The 21,008-nt window shown below is 34.1% G+C and overlaps 2 long non-coding RNA genes across 3 annotated transcripts in view; one reads left to right on the top strand and one right to left on the bottom strand.

Moving 5' to 3' along the window:
* Nucleotides 1-12,820, top strand: part of LOC105374193 (uncharacterized) — a 75,141-nt gene extending 62,321 nt beyond the window's left edge. For both annotated transcript variants that reach the window (XR_924675.3, XR_924674.3), the window contains exons 8-11: nucleotides 9,054-9,112; nucleotides 9,219-9,286; nucleotides 10,255-10,401; nucleotides 11,644-12,820. This is a non-coding gene — a long non-coding RNA (uncharacterized LOC105374193). The remainder of the gene's footprint in view (nucleotides 1-9,053; nucleotides 9,113-9,218; nucleotides 9,287-10,254; nucleotides 10,402-11,643) is intronic.
* Nucleotides 1-13,716, bottom strand: part of LOC105374194 (uncharacterized) — a 33,142-nt gene extending 19,426 nt beyond the window's left edge. Inside the window, exons 1-2 of the long non-coding RNA NR_135545.1 lie at nucleotides 13,614-13,716; nucleotides 10,267-10,372 (exon numbers count right to left, since the gene is read on the bottom strand). This is a non-coding gene — a long non-coding RNA (uncharacterized LOC105374194). The remainder of the gene's footprint in view (nucleotides 1-10,266; nucleotides 10,373-13,613) is intronic.
* Between the last annotated feature and the right edge of the window lie 7,292 nt (nucleotides 13,717-21,008).

Below are 21,008 nucleotides of genomic sequence, written 5' to 3'. Positions count from 1 at the left end.
GCAGGGAGAGGAGCGGAAAAGGTAACTATTAGCTACTGGGCTTAATACCTGGGTAATAAAATAATCTGTACAACAAACAGCTGTAACATGAGTTTACCTATGGAACAAACCTTCACATGTAACTTAGAACCTGAAATAAAAGTTAAGAAAAGAAAATATCAAAACACACACACACACACACACACAAAGAGAAAGTACCAGTTGGGTAGAGGGCAGCCCTCATCATACACTGAAACTGACAGCAGCTTGATCTTGGTCTTCCCATTCTCCAGAATTGTAAGGAATACATTTCTGTTCCTATTAAATGGTCAGTTTAAGTTATTTTGTTTTAGTATCATGAACAGACTTAAGACAAAAAAAAAAAGAATCTAATGGTTTAACATTCAAAAATTAAACTATTCAGAAAAAATACAGGAAAAGCATATAGTAAAATTTAGCAAATAATAATTACAACAGCATTTAGCAAACTGGTAAGAGATCTTCTTCAATCTATTAAGTACAGAAAATCTACATAATTTATCATGCAGATGGGTTAAATTTAAACATATCTTCTGAGATTTGTAATATGGAACATATGAATTTAATAAAGTTGTTAATACAAGGTCAATATACAAAGATTGCTTCCAGCTTTTAAACACCAGCAATGAACAAATAGAAAATAAAAATTTTAGACACAGTGTTTTGCTATGTTGCCCAGGTTGGCCTTAAAGTCCTGTGCTTATGCAGTCCTCCCACCTCAGCCTCACAACTAGCTGAGATGACAGGAATACACCACTGTACCTGGCCACCAGAAAATACAAAAAAAAAAAAAAAGTACCATGGTCAAAAAAAATCAAATATCTATGAGTAAATATATCATACAACCCATACAACCTCTATGTTAAAGGTAAAAAAATAATAAAAATAATAAAATGAAATATTTAAATAAATGAAGAAATACAAAATGTTCATGGGTTGGAACACTCAAGATTATAATGATGTCAATTTTCTCCAAATTATTCTACAGATTTAGTACACCCCTAGCAAAATCTCAGCCAGGTTTTTCATAGACAATAAGAGGTTTATTTAATTTTTTAATAAAAATGTAAAGGGCTGATAGCAACCAAGCTGATATTGAAGATCAACAAAGCTCTTGAACTCTAGCTATCTTATCAAGAGTTACTATAAAAAAAAGATGCTATGGTATCAGCATAATGAAAGATAAATTGACTGGTGGAACAGAAGAGGAAACTCAAAACAGAATTACAAATTTTATGTCATGTGTTTTATTAAAAAGAGGAACAGTAGAGAAAAGATAGTCTTCTGCGTATGTTACAGAGGCTCAATTTTGTGTCAATATGTGAAAAGAAAATACACTTGACCCTAAGTTAAACAATGAAAAACACTATTTTTCAGGTGAATTTTGAGCTAATTAAGTAAGGTAAAATAATAAGTTTTAGAAGAAAATAAAAAAATCAACTTAATGGCTGTGAGGTATACAGAGATTTCTCAAACTGAATACTAACAGCAGTAATCACAAAGGAGATAAAAACATAAATTGGATTATATATAACATACAGCATTAAGACATTTAAAAAACCATGATGTGGGAAAAAATTTTTTTATATATATTCAATACATGACTCATATCCATAATATGTAATGAAATTCTAATAAGCATGAGAAAGAGAATCCTTTGAAAATATTGGTATTTCATAAAAAAGGATATTCAAATGAAAAGTTACTGAGTTTCATTTGAAAATTTAAATTAAATCCATAATCTAAAACCACTATACACGCACAGGAATGGCAAAAGTAGAAAAAAAAAGACAAACAATATAAAATGTTTGAAAATATGTAAAGTAACTGCAACCCTTGCTTATATACTAATGCTGGAAATGCAAGTTTATGTCAACAATTCTGTAAACCATTTTAGTATCAAATAGAGCAGAATCTATCTATCTATCTATCAATCATCTCTCGATAGATAGATACATCTGTATATTTATACATATTTATATTCCATTAGTCTGCAATTTTATTTCTCTTTTCAGCATATATCTACATAAATGCACAATAAATCATGTACAGGTACATGCACAGAAACTCTATTAAAATAAACCCCTCCAAAAGACAAAGATCTATTATCCATTTTATTGACAATAAATTTGTTGCATACATTGAATAGAATATAGTGACAACAATGAAAGAACTGGGACTAAAGTCAACACAAATGAAAGAATATAAATATAAAAGGGTAAATAATATATTGTATAATTTATATAATTTAAAAAACAGCAGAAATCAATCTATGATGTTGAAAATTAGTATCATGGTACTGCTCTTTTCCCATGGTCCTTGCAACCCACAGACCATGAGATTCCCTCGGGTGCCTACACCAACAGGGCCCTGGATTCCAAGCACAAAACTGGTGGCCATTTGGGCAGACACCGAGATAGCTGCAGGAGTTTGTTTTGTACCCCAGTGGCACCTGGAACACCAGTGAGACAGAACCATTCACTCCCATGGAAAGGGGGCTGAAGCCAGGAGGGAACCAAATAGTCTAGCTCAGTGGATCCCACCCCTACATAGCCCAGCAAGCTAAGATCTACTGGCTTGAAATTCTCACTGCCAGCACAGCAGTCTGAAGTCGACTTAGGATGCTTGAGCTTGGGAGGGGAGGGGCATCTGCCATTACTGAGGCTTCAGTAGTTGGTTTTCCCCTCACAGTGTAAGCAAAACCACTAGGAAGGTCAGACTGGGTGGAGCCCACTGTAGCACCACAAATCCACTATAGCCAGACTGCTTCTCTAGATTCCATGTCTCTGGGCAGGGCATTGCTGAAAGAAAGGCAGCAGCCCCAGTCAGGGGCTTATAGATAAAACTCCATTCTCCCTGGGACAGAACACTTGGGGGAAGGGGTGGCTGTAGGCGTAGCTTCAATAGAGTTAAACATTCCTGCCTGCCAGCTCTGAAGAGAGCAGCAGATCTCCCAGCACTTCATTCAAGCTCTGCTAAGGGACAGACTGCCTCCTCAAGTGGGTCTCTGACCCCCGTGCTTCCTGACTAGGAGACACCTCCCAGCAAGGGTTGACAGTCACCTCATACAGGAGAGCTCCAGCTGGCATCTGACAGGTGCCCCTCTGGGACAAAACTTCCAGAGGAAGGAGCAGGTAGCAATCTTTGCTATTCTGCAGCCTCTACTGGTGATACACAGGCAAATAGGTTCTGGAGTGGACCTCCAGCAAACTCCAGCAGACCTGCAGAAGAGGGGCCTGTTAGAAGGAAAATTAGCAAACAGAAAGCAATAGCATCAACATCAACAAAAAGGACATCCATGCAAAAACCCCATCCGAGGGTCACCAACATCAAAGACCAAAGGTAGATAAATTCATGAAGATGAGGAAAAACCAATGCAAAAAGGTTGAAAATTCCAAAAACCAGAATGCCTCTTCTCCTCCAAAGGATCACAACTCCTCACTAGCAAGGGAACAAAACTGGACAGAGAATAAGTTTGACAAATTGACAGAAGTAGACTTCAGAAGGTGGGTAATAACAAACTCCTCCAAGCTAAAGGAGCATGTTCTAAGCCAATGCAAGGAAGCAAAGAGCCTTGATAAAAGGTTACAGGAACGTTTAACTAGAATAACCAGTTTAAAGAAGAACACAAATGACCAGATGGAGCTGAAAAACACAGCATGAGAACTTCATAATGCATGCATAAGTATCAATAGCTGAATCAATCAAGTGGAAGAAAGGATATCGGAGACTGAAGATCAACTTAATGAAATGAGGCATGAAGACAAGATTAGAGAAAAAAAAATAAAAGGTACGAACAAAGTCTCCAAGAAATATGGCACTATGTGAAAAGACCAAACATATGTGTGATTGGCATACCTGAAAGTGACAGGAAGAATGGGACCAAGTTGGAAAACACAATTCAGGATATCATCCAGGATGAATTCCCCAACCTAGCAGGACAGGCCAACATTCAAATTCAGGAAATACAGAAAACACCAAAAAGATACTCCTTGAGAAGAGCAATCTCAAGACACATAATAATCAGATTCACCACAGTTGAAATGAAGGAAAAAATGTTAAGGGTAGCCAGAGAGAAAGGTTGGGTTACCCACAAAGGGAAGACCATCAGACTGACAGCGGATCTCTCTGCAGAAATCCTACAAGCCAGAAGACAGTGAGGGCCAAAATTCAACATTCTTAAAGAAAATAATTTTCAACCCAGAATTTCATATCCAGTCAAACTAAGCCTCTTAAGTGAAGGAGAAATAAAATCCTTTACAGTCAAGTAAATGCTGAGGGACTTCATCACCACCAGGCCTGTCTTACAAGAGCTCCTGAAGAAAGCACTAAATATGGAAAGGAAAAACCAGTACCAGCCACTGCAAAAACATACCAAAATGTAAAGACCGTAGACACTATGAAGAAATTGCATCAACTAACAGGCAAAATAACCTGTTAGGATCATAATGACAGGATCAAAATCACACATAACAATATTAACCTTAAATATAAATGGGCTAAATGCCTCAATTAAAAGACACAGACTGGCAAATTGGATAAAGAGTCAAGACCCATTGGTGTGCTGTATTCAGGAGACCCATCTCACATGCAAAGACACATACAGGCTCTAAACGAAGTGATGGAAGAAAATTTAAAATGGAAACCAAAAAAAAAAAAAAGGGGGTTGCAATCCTAGTCTCTGATAAAACAGACTTTAAAACAACAAAAATTTAAAAAAAAGACAAAGAAGGGCATTACATAATGGTAAAGGCATCAATACAACAAGAAGAGCTAACTATCCTAAATATATATGCACCCAATACAGGAGCACCCAGATTCATAAAGCAAGTTTTTAGAGCCCTACAAAGAGACTTAGACTTCCACACAATAATAGCGGGAGACTTTAACACCCCACTGTCAATATTAGACAGATCAATGAGACAGAAAATTTACAAGGATATTCAGGACTTGAACTCAGCTCTGGACCAAGCAGACCTAATAGAATCTAAGAACTCTCCACCCCAAATCAACAAAATATACATTCTTCTCAGCACCACATCACACTTATTCTAAAATTGACTATATAACTGAAAGTAAAACACTCGTCAGCAAATGCAGAAGAACGGAAATCATAACAAACAGTCTCTCAGACCACAGTGCAATCAAATTAGAACTCAGGATTAAGAAATTCTCTCAAAAACCCAGAACTACATGGAAACTGAACAACCCGCCCCTGAATGACTACTGGGTAAATAATGAAATTAAGGCAGAAATAAATAAGTTCTTTGAAACCAAAGAGAACAAAGACACAACGTACCAGAATCTCTGGGAGATAGCTAAAGCAGTGTTTAGAGGGAAATTTTTAGCTCTAAATGCCCCCATGAGAAAGCAGGAAGGATCTGAAATTGACACCATTACATCACAGTTAAAAGAACCATAGAAGCAACAGCAAACAAATTCAAAAGCTAGCAGAAGACAGTAAATAACTAAGATCAGGGCAGAATTGAAGGAGATAGAGACACAAAAAAACCCTTAAAAAATCAATAAATCCAGGAGCTTGTTTTTTTTTGAAAATATTAACAAAATAGATAGAACACTAGCCAGACTAATAAAGAAGAAAAGAGAGAAGAATCAAAAAGACACATTAAAAAATGATAAAGGCGATATCACCACTGATCCCACAGAAATACAAACTACCATCAGAGAATACTATAAACATTTCTTTGCAAATAAACTAGAAAATCTAGAAGAAATTGATAAATTCCTGGACACATACGCCCCCCCAAGACTAAACCAGGAAGAAGTCGAATCCCTGAATAGACCAATAACAAGTTCTGAAATTGAGACAGTAATTAATAGCCTACCAACCAAAAAAAAGTCCAGGACTAGATGGATTCACAGCCAAATTCTACCAGAGGTAAAAAGAGGAGCTGGTACCATTCCTTCTGAAACTATTCCAAACAATAGAAAAAGGGGGACTTCTCCCTAACTCATTTTATGATGCGAGCATCATCCTGATACCAAAACCTGGCAGAGACAAAACAAAACAACAAAATTTCAGGCCAATATTGCTGATGAACATTGTTGTGAAAATCCTCAATAAAATGCTGGCAAACTGAATCCAGTAGCACATCAGCTTATCCACCACAATCAAGTCAGCTTCATCCCTAGGATACAAGGCTGGATCAACATACACAAATCAATAAACATAATTCATCATGTAAACAGAACCAATGACAAAAACCACATGATTGTCTCAATAGATGCAGAAAAGGCCTTTGATAAAATTCAACACCACTTCATGCAAAAACACTCAGTAAAATAAAACTCATAAACAGGCATTGACGGAACATATCTCAAAATAATAAGAGGTATTTATGATAAACCCACAGCCAATATCATATGGAATGGGCAAAAGATGGAAGCATTCTCTTTGAAAACCAGCACAAGACAAGGATGCTGTCTCTCACCACTCCTATTCAACAGAGTATTGGAAGTCCTGGCCAGGGAAATCAGGCAAGAGAAAGAAATAAAGGGTATTCAATAGGAAGAGAGGAAGTCAAATTGTCTCTGTTTGCAGATGACATGATTGTATATTTAGAAAACCCCATCGTCTTAGCCCCAAATCTCCTTAAGCTGATAAGCAACTTCAGCAAACTCTCAGGATACAAAATCAATGTGCAACAATCACAAGCATTCCTATGCACCAATAATAGAGAGCCAAATCATGAGTGAGCTCTCATTCACAATTGCTACAAAGAGAATAAAATACCTAGGAATACAACTTACAAGGGATGTGAAGGATCTCTTCAAGGAGAATCATAAGCCACTGCTCAAGGAAATAAGAGAAGACACAAACAAATGGAAAAACATTCCATGCTCATGGATAAGAAGAATTAATATTGTGAAGATGGCCATACTGCCCAAAGTAATTTATAGATTCAATGCTATCCCCATCAAGCTACCATTGACTTTCTTCACTGAATTAGAAAAAACTACTTTAAATTTCATACGGAACTAATAGAAGAGCCTGTGTAGCAAAGACAATTCTAGGCAAAAAGAACAAAGCTGGAGGCATCACGCTACCTGACTTCAAACTATATAACAAGGCTACAGTAACTAAAATAGCATGGTACTGGTACCAAAACACACACACACACACACACACACACACACACACACACACACACACATATATATACACACACATCATATATGTGTGTGTGTGTGTGTGTGTGTGTGTGTATATATATATATATATATATATATATATATATATATATATATACATACATACATACATACCAGGGAACAGAACAGAGACCTCAGAAATAACACCACACATCTATAACCATCTGATCTTTGACAAATCTGACAAAAACAAGCAATGGAGAAAGGATTCCCTATTTAATAAATGGTGTTGGGAAAACTGGCTAACCATATGCAGAAAACTGAAACTGCACCCTTTCTTACACCTTATACAAAAACTAACGCAAAATGGATTAAAGTCTTAAATGTAAGACCTAAAGCCATAAAATCCCTGGAAGAAAACCTAGGCAATACCATTTAGGACATAGACATGGGCAAAGACTTCATGACTAAAACACCAAGATCAATGGCAACAAAAAATCAAAACTGACAAACGGGATCTAACTAAACTAAATGGCTTCTGCACAGCAAAAGAAACTACCATCAGAGTGAACAGGCAACCTACAGAATGGGAGAAAATTTTTGCAATCTATCTATCTCATAAAGGGTTAATATCCAGAATTTACAAGGAAATTAAATTTACAAGAAAAAAACAAATAACTCCATCAAGAAGTGGGTGAAGGATATGAACAGACACTTCTCAAAAGAAGACATTTATGTGGCCAAGAAACATGAAAAAAAAAAAAAAGCTGATCTTTACTGGTCATTAGAGAAATGCAAATCAAAACTGAAATGCGATACCATCTCTTGCCAGTTAGAATGGCAATCATTAAAAAGCCAGGAGACAACAGATGCTGGAGAGGATGTGGAGAAATAGGAATGCTTTTACTCTGTTAGTTGGAGTGTAAATTAGTTCCACCATTGTGGAAGACAGTGCGGAGATTTCTCAAGGATCTTGAACCAGAAATACCATTTGATCCAGCAATCTCATTACTGGGTATACATCCAAAGGATTATAAATCATTCTACTATAAAGACACATACATAAATATGTTTACTGCAGCACTATTCACAATAGCAAAGACTTGGAACCAACCCAAATGCCCATTAATGATAGACTGGATAATGAAAATGTGGCACATATACATCATGGAATACTACGCGGCCATAGAAAAGGATGAGTTCGTGTCCTTTGCAGGAACACGGATGGAGCTAGAAACCATCATTTTCAGCAAACTACACAGGAATAGAAAACCAAACACTGCATGTTTTCACTCATAAGTCGGAGTTGAACAATGAGAACACATGGACACAGGGAGGGGAACATTACACACCAGGGCCTGTTAGCGGGTGGAGGGCTTGGGGAGGGATAGCATTAGGTGAAATACCTAATGTAGATGGCAGGTTGATAAGTGCAGCAAACCATCATGGCATATGTATATACTTATGTAACAAACCTGCACATGCTGCACATGTATCCCAGAACTTCAAGTATAATTAAAAAAAAAAAGAAAATTAGTATCATGGTTAAACTTCTATGGAGTTTAGTTACTGAAAGTAGGCATTAACAGAGTTCTCATATATTAGCAATGTTCTTCTCCTTAAATTGCTCCTGCTTATAAACATGTATTTGGCTGGTAAAAAATTCATAAAGCCGTTTAATATTTCTGTACTTTCTGCATAAAGTTTATATGTCAATAAAAATGTTAACAAGCAAAAATGAACAAAACCAAATAAAAAGAGTGATCAGATAAGAAGGGTTTTGGTAGCATGAGTATGACTCTGGTTTTTGGTTTGAATGACTTGGATTGATACTACGACTCACAGAGAGGGAAAAATCAGAAATCGAAGTACATGCAAAAGTAAAATGATTGGTTTCATTTTGGACATATATTATTTTTCAGGAGCCTATGGGCCAGCTAATGAAAAATACAGGAGTCTGAATAGCAGGGGAAAGCTCTGGGTAAGCTTGAGGATGTTGACAACATTTTAAAAGTAATAGAAACATTGGAGAAAGTATGTGTTGACAGATAATGTAATTTATGTTGTTTTAAAATTTTACATTTCAGGTGTCAGCAATATATTCAAGTAGAGATAAACAGAAGAAGATGTGAAGAAGTCAATGATAGGGTAGTAGGTATGGTTATCTTATTGCGTTACATGAAATCATTGTCTCTTCGGGGTAATATAATATGGAGAACATGGTTCAGTAGAACAAAAGTGTTCTTGGTTCTTGGTTTTTGGAAAATAACTATCATTAATCATATAGAAAAAAAGACGTACAAAGTATTAAGCCATTTTTTGGGAAATAACAGCCTAAACATTTTGGGGGGAGAAAGAAATAATCATCATTATTTCACATTCTATATAGTGATTAAGCTTGAAAATTGAGGGGAAACTGTGGTGTTTGATAAAGAATTCAATATTATATTAATATTATTGTCTTTTAAATAACCATAACATAAACTTAAAGCAAATAATTTGTGAAGTGAATTAAGTGCACTAAATAATTTGAATAACTCAACATAAGTAATAAAATGTTGAGTTTAAGAGTGGCAAATAAAGGAGTGACATAAAAAAGAAAAAGCTATGTTTACAAAAATGCTCATTATAGAATTACAACACTGAGTATTTGGAACTTAAATTATTAATAAAAAGGCATAAGAAATGTTATGCTGTATCCACTAGATGGAGTGTGATGCAACCATTTTAAAAAGTTATGAATTAGTATAGAAATTGTATATAATATGTTAGCTTAAAGTATAAATTTAGTAAAAAATGCACACATGCAAGAAATAAAACATGCAAGTATTGGAATTATAGGTAAATGCTTCCCTATCCTGAATTTTTCTCTATTTTACCAAAATGTTTTTGTGTGAAAAAAATTAATTTATATTGCAAATATAATTATATATAAATAACCAATAATTTTTCACAAAAGCTATTTGTTTTTAAATAAAACGCTTCTGAAACTAGACATTAGCTAAACAAATGCCAAATACTATATTAATGGTATTACTGCTTGTATATTACTTAGTGTAAGTGAAATTCTGTACTAAAACTCAAAATGTAAAATGACTAAAATATACTTTTTATTTCTTGCAGTTCTGAACTTACCTGGTGACTATGCCAAATGGACAATCATTCAGAAATCAGGCTCTGGGAGGTTTTTCTATCTTCAGTAATGCCTTCTAAGGTTTTTTGGGAATCATCTCCATTCCAGCTAATGAGAAAAGGAAGAGAGTATTTTGGGTCAGTTCTGGAAATGGTACAATTATTTTTGGAAATGTCACTTTCTATATCTATTTCTGTGTAAAGGATCACTCCAACACTCCATGTCCCAAAACAACTACAATGTTTCCCCTGATACACACAATTTCATGATTTGATTGAGTTGATCTTCTGCTAGTCTTGTTTTGGCTAAGTCATTGGCTGCATTCAGCTGATGGATCAGTTGGGACCTGGTCAAGTAGTCTTTCATTTTAGGCTTCTCCAAAGCATAGGCATAGAAAAGCAATGCCTATGCTTTGGAGAAGCCTAAAATGAAAGACTAAAATGCAAGTGGACGGTGGAGGATGCAAACAGAAGCTGCAAGATGCGTAAGACCTACCTCAGAGATCACAACATTATTCCTGCCATATTTTGTTGCTCAAAAGAAGTCCCAAGGCCAGTCTGAATTAAAAGAGGTTGGAAATGAACTCCATCTTTTGATATGAAGAGTTGTGAAGTCACCTTGTAAAGCAATGGAGATGTACAGAGATATAATTCACTAGGAGGCATTGTTGTAACAATGTAGCACACATCATTTAGAACTTAGATATATGGCTATACTTATGTAGAAGTGAGAGTAAGAAATGGAGTCTGGCTCTGTGCCCAGGAAGACATTACCCATTTTAATGAGTCACAGACACTATCTTTTACAGTATCATAGATAAACATGTTTTTGTTTGTTTGTTTTTACTTGTGAACTGTGTTAAGACTTTAACAAAATCTAATGAATAACTACATTGAAGGTTAGTATTAAGTTCTATTATTACATGCAAGCTTTCACTTGTAGCAAAGCCTCTTGATATTATAATTCTCTCCATTGGACTATAGTATGCTTGTTTTGTTTGCCAACCTAGTCTGGGCTTGATAATTTTAAGTTCCACCGCACCTGGTATACCACAATAGTGGCCAGAAACTCTAGGCAAATACACGGGTGAGATATAGGGAAATAGAAACCAAAGAAGTACAGTCAACCTTAAGTCATAGTTAGGGTAGTACCTTAAAACCTCTTCTATGTCATGCTGAGGGATTTGTAGGTTATCATCTTGAAGGTGTTGATATCGTTTGGTTGTGTCCCCACCTAAATCTCATCTTGAATTGTAGTTCCCATAATCCCCACAAGTCCTGGGAGGGACCCACTGGAAAGTAATTGGATCATGAGGACTATTTCCCGCATGCTGTTCTCATGATAGTAAGAGAATCTCATGAGATCTGATGGTTTTATAGGTGTCTGGGATTTCCTCTCTGGCACTCATTCTCCTGTCACCCTGTGAAGAGGTGCCTTCTGCCATGATTAGAAGTTTCCTGAGAACTCCCCAGCCATGCTGAACTGTGAGTCAATTAAACCTCTTTCCTTTTTATAAATTACCCAGTCTTGGGAACTTCTTCACAGTAGCGTGAGAATGGACTAATAACGGTGTGTACTCTTCATACATTTTTAAGGAGAGGAAGAAGATAAGTAGAGTTATGTTTTAGAAGGGTAAATATGGTTGCAATAAAGAAAATATTTTTCTGGGGTAAGTGATTGAAGATAAGTAATTAGATTACATGCGATTAATGTCTGAATGAGTCAAGGAGGAAAAAGAAGATAGATTAAAGAGAATATTTGAATTATACTTGACATAACTTGATTGCTCTTGATGAGCAGGAAGGTGGAGAAGGGATAGGCCTCACTTTTTGCAGGTTGTGCCTTTTAAAGACATTTGAGTAAAAGGAAAGTGGAGACTGAAATGCAGCTCTTGTTTAATTTGCCAGTCCTTGAGTCCTGTTAGAACTATATATTCCAACAGAAGCTGTGTTGTCTCCTAAAATATCCAACCAAGTGGGGCATCTATTTTTAATTTATTCACCAATAGAATATCTTTTTCAAGTTTCAACATCTAGAGAAGTACCATTTTTCAAAAATGCAGAAAACTGCTGCTTAACCTGGAAGTAGTTTTGGCTGAGGAAGTTAAGAATGATACTTGGGTTTATGACTTGAGTTATGGGTCAAGTTTTAGAGTTTTGTGTCTCAATATGCAGTCCTTGGAACACGAGCATCAGCATTGTTAGGTAACTTATTAGAAATATAAAATATTCAATCAGAATACTCAATTAGACTATGCATTTTAACAAGATCAATAGGTAATTTATATTAACATACATGTTACAGTTTGGGAAGCACTGCTTTAAAGATAATGAATGAATGCCTCAGAATTTGGTTATTAGGGAGTATTCCTCCATGGGCCTGGCCAGAAGATACTCCAGTTATAGGAGAAAGCCATGGGTCACCTCGTCCAATGGGTTCTTGCTGTATCTGTAGAAGACTCAGAGGAAGCAGGGACCTTTCCAAAGCTGTGAAGTAAGTAAAATAAAAGGAGGAGGGATTTGGTAAGCTGATGGCAATAAAAATTTTTAAAAATTGCATTTTTCTATTTCTATGTTGGCATAGCTCAGTGAGGCATAAAGAAAATGCAAGACATACAAGGATATACTAATTTCCTAGGGAAAGGTCATAAGAAAATATCAAAAACTAGGTGGCTTAAGACAACATGCATTTATTCTTTCACAGCTGTGGAGGCTAGAAATCCAAAATCAAGGTATTGGCAGGGCCATGCTTTCTTTAAAGCCTCTGGAGGAGTATCTTGCCCTGAATTTTCTTGCTTTTGGTGGTTTATTGGCAATCCTTGGCTTGTAGGAACACCACTCCTGTCACATGGTCACCTTCTCCCTGTATGTCTTCACATTGTCTTCCCTCTATTCATGTCTGTCTCTGTCTCCAAATTTACCCCTTTAATAAAGACAACAGTCACATTGAATTAGGACCCACCCTAATGACCTCATTGTAACTGACTACATTAGCAACAATCCTATTTCTAAATCTGACCCATTTCTCAGGTACTGGGGATTGGGACTTCAACATCTCTTTTTAAGGGACACAATTCAACCTATAACAGAGAATACATAATTATCACAAATTTGTTTAAATAATATTTTGGAAACTCTCTGACAATGTATCAGAAAGTTTCCATAGTCAGTAATACAGAAAATCATATTGTAACTGGAAAAAAAGTATCACTCTAAATCTAGTATTAAAATAATGTAAGAGTAGAAAAACATGAAACCTATAACTAAAGGATCAATTAAATTATAAAGTAAAAAAAGGGTTAAGAATACTAAGTTTATAAAATTCTAGGACAGAACACACATAAACATACCTTAAAGGTAGAGTAGAATCAAGCTCTTGAGTTCCATGTACATTTAGACTCCTAAGATGTAGGCCCTCAACAGTTGTTTCCATGGCTACCTCTGCTTCTTTCCAGTCGCTGCTCAACTTTTAATCTACTACTGAGGTTTTTCTTGCTTTCCCTATATAAAACAGCAATCCTAACCAATCTCCAGGGCTTCCCTATCACACTTACCATGCTTAATTTTTCTCTAAGTAGCTTTCTGAAGTGCAACTTAGTTAACTGTTTATTTCTTTATATATCTCTTCTCCCATTAATATAAAATCCTTGAATGTTAAAACTTTTTCTTTGCTGTTCACCATTACATTCGATGTTAGTCTGTATCTTTATCTAGGTACAAACAAGCACTAAATGAATATTTGTTTCACTGGCACACAACTTTCCCAAAAACATGGTTTACAGAATAATTATCAAAAATCTTCTCATTTAACATAGCCCCTGGCAAGCTCTCCTTGATGTATTTTATTCTGTTGTGAGGACAGTAAAGAGAACAATTACAGTTGACATGAAGACTGCAAAAATAAACCTTTTGCAAGAATCTAGAAATTTAATGAAGCTGTTGGTAAGTGCACCCAGCAAGCATGAGGTTAAAACATGAGTTCTGTTTTTCTTCACTGTGAAGCCCTAACATAGAAATAGAGGGCAGCCTGTTATTAAACAGCGAATTCTCTACTATGATGGCATTGCTTATAAAGGGAATCAGAGTCTTTAGAAACAGAAAAACCTACTTTCTTCAGGAAATATGACTGTATCTACAACTATGCTGTCAGAGCAAAGGAAAAGCAAATCATAAACAAAAAACATTCACAAGAAAAAAATTCCAAGGGAAAACAATGAAAACCAAAACTAAATATTTTTCTATAAATTTTATAAAAACATAACAAGATGATTGTAGTTGAGAAACAAATCCACATTGTAGAAATACACAAAGTTAGGAAAGAAATGCAAAGACAAGAGGATATACTGAAATCTGAGGAAGGAAAACAAAAAAAAAAGTTATAAAAATTAAATCATCACAGAAGTGAAGACATGTTGGAGGGGATACAAAGAGTAGCATCCTGCCCCAAATATCATACAGATATTCACTAGGATGTACACTAGGGCAGTTTGAAAACAGACAATTTAACTGAGAAGCAATCTACACTTAAATTTTGGGAAAGTACTGGTGATCCGGAATCATGCTTGAAGATTTGGGATCATTTGGGCTTTAAGAACTTTGAAAATTGGCCAGGCACGGTGGCTCATGCCTGTAATCCCAGCACTTTGGGAGGCTGAGGTGGGCGGATCACGAGGTCAGGAGATCCAGACCATCCTGGATAACACGGTGAAACCCCGTCTGTACTAAAAAAAAAAAAAAAAATTAGCCCGGCGTGGTGGCGGGCGCCTGTAGTCCCAGCTACTCGGGAGGCTGAGGCAGGAGAATGGCGTGAACCCGGGAGGCGGAACTTGCAGTGAGCCGAGATCGCGCCACTGCACTCCAGCCTGGGTGACAGAGCGAGAGCGAGACTCCGTCTACCAAAAAAAAAAAAAAAAAAAAAAAGAACTTTGAAAATTAACTAGCTGAACCATGAAAGAGTCTCACACTAAGGAGAAACTGCTACTGATATTTTCCTAACTAATCAGGACAGATGCAATAGGGACAAAGGAACAAGACCACATAAGAGGTGAATATGTAACAAAGTTGGGAGATGTCAGAAAATAGGAGTTTTTTTTTTTTTTAATCACTTTACAAAAACAACAGAAATTTCTGGAGAAATGAAACTATAAAAGCTTCCCTGGCCAATTTATCTTATTTAAAAGGTCAAGAAAATAAACCTAGCTTAATAATGAGTAACAGAAAATAATTGAGATCAAGAATTCCATTCAGAAGTATTTTTTTCAAAGTATAAAAACAGAATGACATCTGTACAGACAATGAAAAGATGTCAGAAAGTCATGACCACATATATTAAAATTATCTTTAAAGTAAAAACAGATAAAAATATAAAAACACAACAAAGTCAGAAATATAAAAACTCAGAAAATAGACATGAGACTTCAAGAAATATTTATAAAATAGTAAAAGGAAACATTCCAGAAATGAAGAATAAATGAGAAATAAAATATTTTTTTAAAAGATCAAGAAAAATGACATAAGATGCTAGAAGGTGAAAGAATGAAACTTTTTTAAAAAGGAATAAAAGTTATAATAAGAAATGAGAAAAAATAGAGAAGTTAGGTAAGCAAAAGCCAATTCATGTATACCAAAGGTCTACATGTATATATAAGAAATATATATATATACACACATTATATATATAAGAAAACAGAGTGAAACAGCCCAAATACTAGCAACCTAAAAACTACATTTCAAAATATTTGACTTTTTTTTGTAAAGAATTAAAACATTTGAAAGTTTGTATCAAAAGGGCATTCTACAATAAACTTAAAGCAAATACAATTGAAACTAATCTGCTAAAATAGCTAGACATAAAAAACAAATGAGCAAGCAAACCACAAAGGTCATATTATTTGTAAGAAAATGAAAGATAGATGAATTTTTTGACAATGTTTTATGCAGGAAAATATTGAATAGCATATTAAAATATGAAAAGGAAGAAAAGCCCAGCCAACAATTTTATTTCCATCTCTTGAACAGAAATGTTCAAACTTACTAAGAGTAATAAAAATATAAATAAATACCATACAAATTATTACATTTCACATATGTTCTCAAATATCTAAAAGTTTAGTAACAGAAAGTGTTTGTGATAACAGAAATTTTTGCATATTTCTGGAGGAAGTGTAAATTAAGACAATCCCATATAGAAGACTAGCAATTTCTATAAAAATTGTGAGTACTAAAATCCTTGATAAAACAATTCTCCTTTTAGAAGTTTATACTACAGATATATTTGCAAAGTAGGAAATGATACATATACAATTTTTGCAGTCTAACAAATTTTTAGTAGCAAAATACTGAAAATAAAATTTTATTATTGGAGGAATGGCTAAATAAATTTTGATGACTTCATAAGCCACTTAAAAATTAATGAGAAATCTCGGGAGGTTGAGGCAGGAGAATGGCATGAACCCAGGAGGCAGAGCTTGCAGTGAGCTGAGATTATGCCACTGCACTCCAGCCTGGGTGACAGAGCAAAACTCAGTCTCAAAAAAAAAATTAATGAGAAATCTCCTTTTTTTTTTTACAGTTATAAATGGTGGCTAATTAATACAGTTTAATAAAAAACAATGTGAATGGCAGTATAGGTAGTGTGTTGTATCATTTATAAAAAATAAATGAAAAGATATGAATGTGTGTGTGTTTACTTATACATGCAACAAATATTTCTAGAAGAACTCTAAAATTAATAAAATTGCTGCCTCTATGTAAATGAATTAGGGGACTAGAAGGTGGAGTGTGGAGAGTTTATATTGCACGTTGCGTTAGTTTTCTAAGACTGCCAAAGCAAAATACCACAGAGTAGATTAAAAAAGAGAAATTTATTTTCTCACAGTTCTGGAGGCTGGAATTTCAAGATCAAGATGGTAGTAGGGTTAGTTTCTGGTGAGGACTCTGTCTTCAGTTTGCAAATGGCCACCTTCTCACTGTGTCCTCACATGACCTTTCTTTTGTGAGCATGTGCAGAGAAATAAGAGATCTTCAGTGTCTCTAACTCTTCTTGTAAAGACACTAGTCCTATAAGATTTAGAGGCCCACTTTTATGACATTATTTAACCTTAATTACTTTCTTAAAGTCCTTATCTCCAAATCCAGCACATTGTGAATTAGGCCTTCAACATACGAATTTCAAAATGGTACAATTCTGCTCATTACATATGTATTCTCAAATATTTTGATTTTTGAATTATATGAATGAATGCATAGATGAATGAATGAATGAATGAATGAATGAATGAAACAAAACCCAAACTGTAATCCAGTAAGTACTTTAAAGGAAGAAAGACATGAGTTGAGGATGAAGATTTTATCAGTGATTTTAAAGACTGATATTTGGGTTGACTTTATTTGAATAGACAGTGAGAAATGATAGTTAAAATGATGGAGAGGAGTCTTTGTTATGAATTAAAGAGGAATGTGATTTAAAATAAGAATAATTGGGGCTCCTGAAAAATAGTTTCAAATGACTATCACTGGAAAATTAAGCAATTTAGATGGACCAAAAATGCACTTGACATTCAAGGAAACATTTAAAAGACATATATTTAGTTATTAAAAAACTTGTATTATATAAGAATAACAATCTATAAGAAAGTAATTAATATGTTGTTCAAATTACTGTAAGTTGTCCAAAAGTAATATGAATTAATGATGGGAAAAGTGTAATGCATGGAAGTCTTCTATCCTATACCAGTGAGATTGCATTTGTATATGGCCTAACCCTATCTGTAAAGATATTTGACAATTTGTACATGAATCTTTGTCATAATTTTTAAAATTACATTTCTAGAATTTTTTTTTCAGGAGAAATAATGCACAATACAGATAAAACATTATAAATAAACATTTATAGACACACACATATGTATATAATGGATGATTTACAATAGTGGAACTGGAAATGAGCTAAACGTTACCCACGTGATAGAATAAATTTTGATACACTTTTATAAAATAGTGTAATATGAACTCAATAGTTATAGAAGTTTTATTAACAATATCTTTAAACATGTATGTTATATAATTATATACATATTATATTTTTGAAGTATACAAATTTTCATAGCTGGAGAACTGTTTTTACTTCATTTAAGTAAACTACTCTTATGGCTCTATCCAGAATTTACTATTGTCTGAAATTTATAAACTTAAAAAATCTCTTTGAAAAGAACATTTCATGAGCCTTGCTCATTTATTCCAATAATTTAGCTACGTTGTCTTGAATTATTATTTTTCCTATTCTCTTTATTTCTTAAGTCTTAAATTTCCAAATTTAGAAAAAAATATTTTTCTTCACTTTCTTTTTATGGTTAGATGGTAAAATCCTATGCTGTATAAATCACACCATTTTCTATTCTCAGATTTTCTTCCTCTCTTTGTCTCTATGTTTCTCTCTCTTCTTTTATTCATTTATTTATTCAGATGTGTATATATATGTATATATATATGAATTAATAGATAATTTATTGTCAAAACTTTCTTTTATTGCATAAACTTTTAGCCCTCATTTTACAGAAGAGAAAAACAAGAGTAAATATGATTCATTAATTTGTTCAACACTTAAGGATAGTGTTGAATCCAGGTCAGCCTGACCTCCCAAAATCTACTTTTCCAAATATATATTATCTATGCCCCATTAATTCTATATTATCAATTATGACAGAATGCAACTGTTAATATGGGAGGAAATACATAATGCTATGGTGGGGATGCATTGAAAAACTTCTAATCCACAGTGTCGCATGGAAAATAATATTTCAGAAAAGGTAATGCCTGAGATAAGTTTTGGAGAATGATTGGGAGTTAGCCACGTATAGAAGAAACAACTTTCCAGGAAGATGAATAAAAGCACAAAAGTAAGAGAAAATATTTCTTCTGAAATCAGACATACTGGAGTGGCTTTTATTCAAGGTTTTTATAGAGGAGTAGCTAGAAATGAGCATGAAAAAAATGAACCAATAAACAATAATGAAGGTCTCTGAATGATATACTAAAAATTATAAATTTTATCTTGAATAACTGAAGGTAGGACCCCTAAACATTATTGGTGCAAAAAATGATTGTGGTTGAAAGAGGAAGGGCAATTTAAATAATTGTCAGCTACAATTTCTCCAATTCCAGGAAGTCTCGACCAAGACACTAGGAGTTTCCATCTTATTTTGACATGGGCTTCTGTGACTTTTCCCCAAGTAAGGGTGCCAACTAGAATAGATCAGACAAACAAGGTTGTATATGTGCCTCTGTGCTTATTAATTATATTGTTGTAATCGAATTAAACTAGAGAAGTAATAAGGATGTAGCAACCTAAAATTCTTAATTGCTGACTCTGATGATATAATTTGGACCTGTTTACCTATTCAGTCTTGGGATGACAGTCTGCATGGGTTTATGAAATGCTTTTATTGCTAGAAAGATGGCTATATTTCCTGAAATATTTCTATAAATCTTAATGCTTAAATATAACAATTATATAATATACCTTAATAGAAAGTATTTAGATATTCCTAAATATAAGAATTATCTGATAAATAGTTGCTCATATTTTGGTACATGCAAGTGAAGGTCACAACAGTTTAAATATTTATTTTATGTTATTTTTTTGAAATGCAGCAATAATGCTTGAGTCACAATTAATTTAATTAAATTCATTGTTAGTGTTTCTAAGTCAAAATAAATAAGAATTATGAATAAACTGAAAACTCTAGGTTGCTTTAGGAAATAAAGATGTGACAGGAGAAATAATAATTTCACAACACACATTGTCATTTCAAATCTGTTTCCAGTGTCACCTACCACAATTTTATTCATTCTTTTCACTCTGAATTATATTTTCTTATTGAAGATCTCAGTGTTAGTAATTCTGTTAAAGGGGTTATGTGAAGGTTAAATAATCCTTCAATGATAGGAATTGTGTGAAGGAATTTGTTCCCACAGACTGTTAATTGAAGAATTTTTTATTGGCATTAATTTGAGAGCCTGAAAATTAAAAGAAAATATGAGAGGATTAAAACTTTTAGCCACATATATCATTTTCAACAGTGACTTGCTACAAAAGCAAATTTTCTCTTTAGTTCCAAATATTGGAAGAACTGAAAATAAAATATTAATTGCTTTTCATATATACTAGTATGTGTATAATAAATATAAAATATAATATATACATATACACATTTAAACAAAGATTTTTAGAAAATAATTTGGTTAATTTATTTGAAGCATATAATATTCTAAATAATTGGAGGGTTTGGGCTGTGGTAACTTGAATAATAAGGAGTCCTCTGAGAAAGATTACTTTTTTCCAGTTGAGAAATGAATTTATTAAACACGGTAAATATTACTTTGCCTGTTTTAATTGATATTCAGTCACATATACAATTATTTACTTGAAAAATTCAGACAGAATGTTTAAGGCCTAGAATGTGTTCTCCAGAATAGAATTTGACATTCCTAAGAAACAACTTCAGGCCCTTCACCACTTACCCTATTTTACTGATCAACCTGCTACTATATCACTTTCTACTCTCATTCCATAGTTTCTCTAAAAACGTTAGCACTCATCACAGTCTTTTTTTAAGGGATTTTACTCTTTCTTATTTATTGTCTCTTTTTCACAAGAATATATATTCTGTGCCAGCAGGGTCCTCTTTGTCAGTTTTGTTCACTGCTATGACTTCAGAACCTACAACAGTACCTGACACATAATA

Source organism: Homo sapiens, chromosome 3 (genome assembly GCF_000001405.40).
Source record: "Homo sapiens chromosome 3, GRCh38.p14 Primary Assembly".
Classification (NCBI taxonomy): Eukaryota; Metazoa; Chordata; class Mammalia; order Primates; family Hominidae; genus Homo; species Homo sapiens.
The sequence above is the reverse complement of the archived record's forward strand: the minus strand, read 5'-3'. Positions and strand labels throughout refer to the sequence as shown.